Genomic DNA, 10,489 nt, shown 5'->3' with positions numbered 1-10,489 from the left:
TGGGCAAAAGTTTAACAAACAGGACATTTGCACAGTCTCAAAGTATCTTTCCCAAGAGTTACTAATTACAAAAAGAAAAATAGTAACTGTACAGTGAAGGAATAGGACAGATACTCTCTTTACCAAGTTACCAAGGCTCACATCACCAGTAATAAATAAGGTAACTGCCTAGTTTGATGCACTTAGAAGGGTACAAAACTCCAGTAGTATTCTTGATAAAGCGTGACCATGAATAGTCGTGAGAAAATATCAAACCAAACCCAACTGAGAGACACTCTACAAAATATCTGACAGACCATCAAGCCATGAAAGCATCTTCAAGTCATGAAAGAGAGGAATACTGAAGAACTGTCATAGATTGTAGAAGACTAAGGGGATATGCCAACTAAATACAATGTAGGATCCTGGATGGGATCCTGGAAGTGAAAAATAACATGAGTGGAAAACTAGTAGAATCCAGATAAAGTCTGTAGTTGAGTTAATAGTATTGTACCAATATTAATTTCTTAGTTTTCATGATTAGATTGTGATTATGTAGAATGTTAGCACGAGGGCAAGCTGGGTGAATAATATACAGGGAGTCTCTGTACTGTGGATGTGACTCTTTCGATATTTTAACGTTACCTCCAAATAAAAAGATATTTAAAAACAATACCCCTTACAATAGCATAAAAGGTATGAAATGCCTAGAGATAAATCTCACAAATATGTGCAAGACCTGTACACTAAAAACTACAAAACATCGCTGAGGGAAATGAAAGAAGGCATAAATAAGCGAAGAGATATACCAAGTTCATGAATCTGAAGCCTCAATATTGTTAAATGTCTATTCAGCCCTCAGTGATCCATAGATTCAACTTAATCTCAACTAAAATCACATCTGTCTTTTTTGTAGAAATGGACAAGCTGATTGTAAAATTTATATAGAAATGCAGTGGGCATAGAATAGCCAAAGCAATTTAAAAAAAGTGAGGGGAACTTACAGTATTCAATTTTAAAACTCATGATAAAGCTATAATAATTAAGGTAGTGTGGTAGTGTAAGAACAGCTCAATGGAACAGAATAAAGAGTCTGGAAAAATACATATAGTATAATAAGTCTTTATATGATATATATTTTTTCAATTGACTTTTGAAAGAAGGGCCAAGCTAAATTATTGGGAAAAGGGAAGACTTTTAAACAAATGTTGCTGGAATAATTAGCTATTCATCCATAAAGATATAAACTTCAACCCTACCTCACACAATGCAGAAAAATTAACTTAAGATGGACCACAGCCCTAAACAAAGCCAAAACCGTAAAACTTCTAGACACTTTGTTACATTGAGGAAGACAAATATTTCTTAACAGAACACAACAATCCCACAAGCATAAAACTAAAAATAGATAAAAATGGACATGATCAAAATAAACAATGTCTACATTTGAAAAGACCTGTTAAGAAAACGAAAAGACAAGTTACAGACAGGGAGAAAATATTTGCAATACATATATCTGATACAGAGTTATATCCAGAATATATTTGAAATTCTTACAACTCAATAATATAATATATGCAACAATTAAAGAGTTGGACAAAAGGTTTGGACAGACACTTTGTAAATGAAGATACACAAATTGCCAGGATGCCCTAGCTGCTTCTCTTCCTGAGAGACACTCTTCCATATCTCGGTCTCACCAACTCCTTCCTCTCCTTCAATTCCCCTCCCAAATTTTACCTTCTCAATGAAGCCTCTCTTGAAATTGTTTTCAGGTGTAATATTAAAAATTGATATGTAGTAGCTGTGTGTACTTTGGGAGTACCTGTGATATTTGGATATCTGTATACAATGTGTAATGATCAAATCAGAGTAATTGGAATATCTATCACCTCAAATATTTATCTTTTCTTTGTGTTGGGAACATTCCAGTTCTTCTTTTTTAGCTATCTTGAAATGTACAATAACTTATTGTTAGCTATAGTCTCTGTACTATACTATTGAATACTAGAACTTACTCCTTCCATCTAACTGTATTTTTGTACCCATTAGCCAACTTCTCTCCCTCCCTCCTGCCCTTCCTAGCTCTAGTAACCACCATTCCACTCCCCATGAAATCCACTTTTTTTAGCTCTCACATACGACTGAGAACATGTGATGCCATATTTATCTTTCTGTGCCTGGCTTATTTCATTTAGCATAATGACTTCCAGTTCCACCCACGTTGCCGCAAATGACAAGATTTCATCCTTTTTATGGCTGAATAATATTCCATTGCATACATATACCACATTTTCTTTATCCATTCATCTGTTGATGGACTCAGGTTGATCCCACATCTTGGCTATTATGAATAGTGCTGTAATAAAGATGGGAGTGCGGATACCACTTTGACATATTGATTTCCTTTCTTTAGGATACATACCCAGCAGTGGGATTTCTAGATCATGTGATAGTTCTAGTTGTAGGTTTTTGAGGAACCTCCATACTGTTTTCCCTAATTACTGTATTACTTTACATTCCCACCAACAGTGTTCTTCTCCACATCCTCACCAGTATCCATTACTTTTTGTCTTTTTGCTAATATCCATTTTTAACTGGGGTGAGATGCTGTCTCATTGTGGTTTTGATTTGCATTTCCCTGATGATTAGTGATGTTGACCATTTTTTCAAATCCCTGTTGGCCATTTGTATGTCTTCCTTTGAGAAATGTCTATTCAGGTCTATTGTCCATTTTAAAAACAGATTGTTATTATTTGCTATTGCGTTCTTTATACATTCTGCTTATTAACCCCCTGTTGGATGGAGAGTTTGCAAATATTTTCTCCTATCCTGTAGGTTATCTCTTCCCTTTGTTAACTCCCCTGACATTTTATTAAATATGGTGCCCTGGCTCAGCCTCTCCCAACCACACACATACTCAGAGTCTCCTCATCCTTTTTTGTTTCTTTTTCCATATATTCCAATTGATAGCATTTGCCAATATCTAACACACTGTATAATTTACTTATTTATTATGTTTATTTTTTGTCACCTGTCTTCCTGGTGACAATGAACACAAATTCTGTCTCTTTCTGGACGGATATATCCCAAGTGTCTACAACACTGCCTGGCACCTAGCAGGTGCTTGATACATTTTTCTCTTACAAATTAATAAATCTGATGAATTTATAATAAGCATATGCTTTCCTTTTGTCTTTGGTATCCTGCAGTTCTACTATGATATCTCAAGGCATATTTTTATTTATCCTGCTATAAACTCACTAGTATTCTTGAATCTAAAGATTCACATCTACTGTCAATCTTGGAGCATTCTTAGCCATTATAGCTTTAGGCATGCACCCCCAGCCCTGTTATTTCTACTGTCCTCTTCCAGAACGTTAATTAGCTATCACGCTACTCACTCTGCCTCGATGCCTCTTCACCTCTTTTTTTTTTTTTTCTCCAGCAGCGTTTCTCTCTGTGATTCTCTGGGTAATTGCTTCAATTCTACCTTTCATTTCACTAATTCTGTGTTGAGCCAGTTCGAATCTGCAGTTTTACCAAATAGGTTTTCATATCGTTAATAAGATTTTCATAGTTCTGTTTGGTTCTCTTTCAAATTTATTTAGTCACTTTTGATAGTACTTTGCTAATTGCCCATAGTTTTGGCTCTCAATTCATTTCTTTATGCATTAAAATTATTTTTAAAAATTCCCTAGTGAGTAATTTTTGTTTGAAGTTCTTGGGGTTTGAATTTGGGATTTCGACTGCCTGTTCTGGTGAGTCTTTATTTGTGGGAATCCTGTGAGGTCAGGTTGGGGGATCTGAGTTTGCTTCTAGTCACGGAACACTACATACCTGAAATATCTTTAATTTTATGGTTTGGAGTTTCCTTGAACACAAAGGGAGTATGAATTCGAACCCCACCCTCCTGTGAAGTGAGGTCTGTGGCTGTGATTGTCAGGGGAGACTTGTCCTCCACCTGGATCCCAGAGAGAGACAGACAAGTGCTCCTGCTGCTTCTTTTACTAGCTGAATTAGTCAGGATAGCCTAAGTTCTGCTGCAGCAACAAAGGAACTCTCTCACTGGCTAAACCCAACAGATGCTTTATTTCTTGCTTTTATGGCTCCTGCAAAGTTTGCTGGGGACTTGAGTAACTCTCCAGGGAAATGTCTTCCCTGGAGCAGCCTGGGTCCAGGTTACCATTTTCAGGCTCAGCCTCCACACGTGCCACAGGAGAGAGATGGCGCTGCCGAGTCTGGTGGTGTCAATGGCTTTAGTCTAGGAGCGATTCACATCGCTTCCTCTCAGAGCCCTTTGGCCAGAGCTAGTCCCAAGCCCAGGCTAATTGCTGGGGTCAGAGACTGTGTTCATCTGTCGCCTGGAGGAAGAAGAGCATTTAATATGGGTAAGCAGTAGAAGCCTCCACATGCAGCAGGTGGTTTTCTCAAGTTGCCCCTCCACTGGCGTTAGAACCTCTGAGGTTCTGGTTTGGTGCAAGGATGGCAATCCTGCCATCCCACCTTCTCTCTGCCCCTGGATGGCCACTGAAAGCCACTGGGACTGCCTGACACCTGAGGTGGCTTCATGCCAGCACCGACTTATCACTCTCGCTCTTGGCTTTCCCCTGCCTTTGGCCTCTGGGAAACTCCTTGCCTTTCTTGTAAGCTCAGTTCCACGTGGAAAGTGATGTGTAGTGTATTTTATGTAGCACCCTGGGCACTTAGTTTTGGGAGGTATTAGTATTCACACTTTATAGAAGAGGAAAGAAAGCAGAAAGCCTCAGTACCTTGCCCAAGCCACACATCAGGGATGTCCTGGAGCCGTGCTTCTCAGCCAACCTCTTCTGACTCGGCAGCCAGTGCTCCTCTTGGGAGCCATGGTAGTCTCCTTCCTACAGAGAGGCAGGGATTGGGTCTGGCATGGAACTTTGGGGCAGGCTTCCCAGAGGAGGTAGCCTTTGACCTGGTCTAGAAGGATACACAGTGGGTCAACGGGAGGACATGGCGGAGGATGCAGCCTGGGCAAGGGCCTGAGGGTGTGAAAAGGCAGAGACACATGTTAGGTGCTCAATCAATGTTTGCTGAATAAACGAATAAATACATAGCCAGGGAGAGGAACGGGGGGGATGAATAACGCTGTTGGTAAAGCATGAGTCAGTTTCTTGCAATGGCTTGTGTTTGACCTGCCGTTTTTCTACCTGCTCTTGCCTAATTTCCTAAGCTAAACAAACTGGGAAGAATTTGTGGGAATGCCAGAGAATGAGTCTCTCTTCCAGTCTTAGCAATTGCAGTTACCTAAAATTACAAGCCTGTCTGATCTCATTAGCAAAATAAGACTCAGCGAGGACCCAAGGTGGAAGTTCAGTCCTGACAAGGAGACGCTGAGGTCTTTTCAGGGCTCCAGCTCCCTGCTCCCTGCTCCCGGAGCCCCCCGCCCCTGAGCCCTGACTAACATCTCAAATCTCTGGCAGCTGGAGGCCTGTTGAGTTAGCTCCCGCAGGTCTGGTCCATCAGCACGCCCGGGGAGGAAGAGAAAGCAAACAGGGAAATTCCGAGTTCAGCCTGGACTTCAGTCAAACCCGCTTTCCTTCATAAACACCCTCCCTTGCACTTATTACAATGAGGGAACTTGAGCCAGTGGCCTGGAGCAGGGATTAGATGATCCAGAAAGGGCCACCGAGGCATCTGTCGATGGGAAAGCCAGCGAGTGTGTCTCAGCCACTAAGTGATGGCTCTACAGGGCACTTAGAGGAACGTTTAGGGGCCTCAGACCTATTTAAGGACCTTGAGTTTCAGGTAATGAGAGAGTCAAAGATATTTAAGCTCGCAGAATAAAATCAAGAGGTCTTATTTGTAGAGTAAAGCCGAGGCTCTCTTGGGAACGTTTTAGAAGACAGAAACATTGTTGCCTGCTCTGATGGCTAGAGTATTTCACAAGAGTAATGCTTCTTTATTGATCGCCTCCTGGGGGCCAGGCTGGAATTAATGCTTTTACACCAATTAGCTTAAGCAATCCTCATAAAAGCTCTGCAGAGCAGGTATCATTATCCCTGTTTTGCAGATGAGGGATTGAAGATGGGGTGGTTAAGTAACTTGCCCCAGGTCACTTAACTGGTAAGTGTGGCCCGGGGACCCGGCCTGTCCATTAAGCTCCGCAGGCCCAGGGCGAGGATGTCTGTCTCAACCTGATACCTTTAGGGGCCCAAGAACATCTCTCTAACTTTGCTTAAACCAGAAAAAAATATGTGGAAGCATTTGAAGATTTATTAATTTTTTTATTTTTAAATTTTATTTATTTATTTCATACTTAGGGACATTTACTACAATTTTCCCCCCAGCTTTTATTTTAGGTTCAAAGGTACATGTGCAGGTTTGTTACATGGGTAAATTGCATGTCATGGGGTTTGGTGTACAGATAATTTTGTCACCCAGGTCATCCGAATAATACCTGAAAGGTAGTTTTTCCATCCTCAGCCTCTCCCCTCCCTCCACCCTAGAGTATGTCCCAGTGTTCCCTGTTTCCTCCTTTGTATCCATGTGTGCTCAGTGTTTAGGTCACATTTATAAGTGAGAACATGCAGTATTTGATTTTCTGTGCCTGCGTTAATTCGCGTAGGATGACGGCCTCCAGCTCCATCCCTCCAGCTCCATCCGTGCTGCTGCAAAGGACCTGATGTCTGATGTTCTGTTTTATGGCTGCATCGTATTCCATGGTATATAGGTACCACATTTTCTTTATCCAGTCCACCACTGAGGTGCATCAAGGTTGATTCCATGTCTTTGCTATTGTGAATAGTGCCGCAAGGACACATGCCTATCTTTATGGTAGAAGGATTTGTATTCCTTAAACACGTTTTTAAATACAGGTATTTTTATGGTGGGAGAGGCCCATGAAAATCGTAGTGCCCTCTGGGGGAAATCTCATAGAGCCACTGGTTACTTCCCAAGCTCAGGCACTCAGAAGGCCCAGGAAAGCTCCTCAAAGGCATGGCAATGATGAGGTAAATACGACCGACCGCAGGGCCGTGGGTGCTTCTGGCCCCTCTGATGTCCTGCACGGTCATCGCAAGCACCGTCAGATGAGGTGCCTTGGACAGCGTCTCCTTTTCACAGCCCTGGGGGATGGAAGTCATGCCTGTGTCTGTACCCAGACCTGGGGGATGGAAGTTATGCCTCTGCTATACTCAGCCCACCCCATATCAGCACTGCTGTCCAGTACAAGCCCCCGCCAGGGTTTGCAGACCAGGCTCAGTGTGTTCCTTCATTCCAGCCTGTCTGAGGGAGGCTGTGGCCTGTGGCCAGGACAGGAGGGACTGAGGGGGCCCTGTGAAGAGCAGGTTGTCCAGAGGTCCAGTTAGCGGCCTTGGAGAATACTGACAGCAGCACTGCCTCAGCCTCACTCCTTGGTGTGCAATGTGGGGGCTTCTCTAAGGAGGACGGGGGAGCTTTCTTAGGCTAAACATCCAGGGTGCCGTCCTGCAGGTGCTCACTTTGACACCTCACCTTCACTTTGTGGCTCAGGACAAATAGCGTGGGGAGAGATAGTGTTGAAGTGGAGGCAGCAACCGCAGGCAGCTGGTCCCTGAGACTTGTCTTCAGAGGGAACTGAGACGGGACTGCAACTGGAGGTGGGGGGTGGGTGTGGGGGCCAGGCGGGTTTCTGAAGACCAGGAATACTCACTTCAGCAATGGAGACATTCTGCCTTCTCTTTTGCCCACTCAGTCCCATTTGTTGTTTTGCTTTGTTTTTATAAACTTTTATTTTGGAACAATTTTAGATTTATAGAAAAGTTACGATAGTACAGAGAGTTCCCGTTCGCCCCCCACCCGGTCTTCCCTTTGTGAACCGCGCACATTACCGTGGTACATTTGCCAGCACTCAGAAGCTGACATTGGGCCATTGTTAACTCAATTCCAGACTTTATTTGGATTTCGCTAGTTTTCCCATTAATGTCCTGTCTCTGTTCCAGGACCCACGCCAGGGGACTTCATTGCATTTAGTTGTCACGTCTCCCCCGGCTCCTCTGGTCTGTGTCACGTTGTTTTTGATACCTGCTCTGGGCCAAGACTAGGACCAGAGAGGTGAGCGAAGAGAGCTCTGGTGGCTCCGGGCCAGGGGTCGGGCAGACAGGGCGCCCTTCCATGGTGCTGGAGAGCTGGCAGGACAAATGGCCTGGGCTCACAGGGACGGCCAGCAAAGGCAGGCACAGGGGGCTTTGGAATTGCTTTAAAAGGGGAGAGGGGGCTCTGATTGAAAACCCAGCGTGAATAATAGCATCCAGCACTGTATTTTGATGGGATAATTGTTTTATATTTGTAAAGATTCTTAATTATCTCCAGCAAATGCATTTAGCTCACTTGGTAATTGAATTAAGGAAAATGTTTTTTCAAGCATTGTAAGTCATTGCTATAATAAAAGAGAAGGAAGAATGACTTTAAAGTACCTCCCTACATGACCTAGACAAACTTGTTATGACTGAAAGCTGAGTAATCCCATTAAGGCCTTAGTTGGTTCTAATAGAACAGGCATTCTGGAGATGCCAAATGAAAATCGCAAGAGATGGTGGAAACTTCCTTTCTTTGGGAAGCCTCTGTCGACCCCACTTCGAGCGGATCCTGCCGTCCTGGTGCCCTGGGCATACTTTTATTTTTGTGCTTATCACACTGACCTGTGATAGCCTCCTGGTCAGCCTCAACTCCCCTTTATCCCCTACGTGTCCTGAGAGCTCAGATGGACGGCATTTGCCCACTTCAGTATTTCCCAGCACAGTCAATAAAGGAGCACATGAGATGCTTCCCAACCTGTGTGAATACCCTTCCTGACACAGCAGAGAACAGTCCTTCATAAATCCTGTGTCTTTGGAGGGACGTTTTCTGGCACACTGCGGCAGCTGTGGCTTGCAATGTCTAAGTTACCAGGATGTCGGTGGGGAGGGCCCTGACCAGGGCGGAGTAGGGGGACCTGCAGCGTCTGGGAGCATGAAGCCTTGCTGCTGGAGTCTCCAGGCTCGCCAGGCAGGGCTGGGGGTGGCGCTGGGAGGAGCCCAGACAGATAGGCCCTGAGCTTTGAAGAAAAATCAATATTCAGCAGGGAGTTGATTGTGTCATAAACGTCTCGAGTTGCACTGCCACTTCCTGGCCCCTGAGTGGCCCAAGGTGAGCTCTGCTGAGGAGAGAGCTGCCCTGCCTACCCCTCCCCTGCACTGCCTGTCTGAGGTCACAGAAGGAGCAGGAGAAAGGCAGCAGGCATCTTAGGTGGTAAAGCCACTCAGTGAGCCACAGCAGCGAGGCGAGGATGGTGGCTCCCTCTTTCTTTCGGAGGTGCATACATTCAACAAATAACTACTCAATGCCCACCATGCCCAGTCCTGGGGCCAGGCTCTGGTGATGCGGCCAGGAGCCCGGCAGACAGTGTGCTGCCTGCATGGAGTCTACAGTCCTGTGTGGAGATCAATGTTGAACGGGGAAATGAAACAGAAAACTGGCCAAGTAGAGGCTGATAAGCGTCATCCAGCAAAGCAATGAACAGGCAGGTGGAGGCTCGGGAGGGCTGGGCAGGGCTGCTGCAGATGGGCAGGGCTCTGGGCACTCGGCTGGGCAGGAGCCTGGGCAGTGGGGGGACTGGCTCCCAACACAGCCACTCCCCAACCACTCTTGGCTTCTCTGCTTCCTTCCTTCTCTCCCTGCCTCCTTCCCACACCTATGCCCAGGTGCTCCTGTAGCTCTGGCTTGCGTAGGGACACTGCCAAGTGGCCCATCCCCTTCATTTCGTAGTCCAGATGCTCTGACAGTGACCCCAGGTGACCGCCCATGCATCGCCTGTCCTGGTGGGGGCCATCCTGTGCCATCATTGGGGGGGGGGTGCAGTGTGCATGACACGGCACAGCATGGCTCATAGCTGCCCAGCACCAGGGGCTGAGGGGGTGATGGGCATAGCAGTGAGCATTCCATCTGGGATTGAGTCCTGCTTGCCTCTGTCAGGGGATGTCCTTAGGCAAGTCCCTTAACATGCATGTGCCTCAGTTTTGTCACCTGTAGCCCAGTGCCTCATGGTGCCAAGGAGGTCACAAGCATGAAGCCCCTGGCAGGGTGTGCCGGGCACGTGTGCACATGCCCCCTGGAGGGGATTCATCATCGCGGGCGGAGCTCTGCAGTTCCAGCCTCCTGAGGGTCCTGATGCCTCACGAGGCCAAGAGGCAAAGGGTTTTGTAACTTACATAACCGCAGAGAAAGGCAAGGTTGCTGCTCACAATGATGCTTTCACAGGGCGGCTCTGGGACGGCATCCTCACCCGACTATATGGAATTCCACATCCTTTCCGAATCTTGGTGTTACACAATAGTCACTGAGATATCATGTACCCCATTAACGTTGAGACTTTTATGTATTTACAATTCAGCTTAAATTTTTACCCAGAGAAGTTTTCAAAATGTAACATGTGTTAGTCACTGTGTGAATTGCGAAACCAAGGAAATATCTCCAAAGTGCTGGCCTTGACAATGTAATCTGGCAAGGCTTGGGGAGG

At 45.3% G+C, this 10,489-nt stretch overlaps 2 annotated features.

The window, feature by feature from the left end:
• Positions 8,926–9,109: a silencer, noted in NCBI's record as "fragment chr14:101943520-101943703 (GRCh37/hg19 assembly coordinates)". NCBI's record gives its function as "represses an EF-1alpha promoter that drives an FKBP-Casp9 reporter gene in an ReSE screen in HepG2 liver carcinoma cells {active_cell/tissue: HepG2}" and the evidence as "EXISTENCE:reporter gene assay evidence [ECO:0000049][PMID:32094911]".
• Positions 9,796–10,473: an enhancer, noted in NCBI's record as "H3K4me1 hESC enhancer chr14:101942156-101942833 (GRCh37/hg19 assembly coordinates)". NCBI's record gives its function as "activates a minimal SCP1, AML or CMV promoter by ChIP-STARR-seq in naive H9 embryonic stem cells {active_cell/tissue: H9 hESC(naive)}" and the evidence as "EXISTENCE:reporter gene assay evidence [ECO:0000049][PMID:30033119]".

Source organism: Homo sapiens, chromosome 14 (genome assembly GCF_000001405.40).
Source record: "Homo sapiens chromosome 14, GRCh38.p14 Primary Assembly".
Classification (NCBI taxonomy): domain Eukaryota; kingdom Metazoa; phylum Chordata; class Mammalia; order Primates; family Hominidae; genus Homo; species Homo sapiens.
Note: the sequence above shows the minus strand (reverse complement) of the source record. Positions and strands in the feature narration are given on the sequence as shown.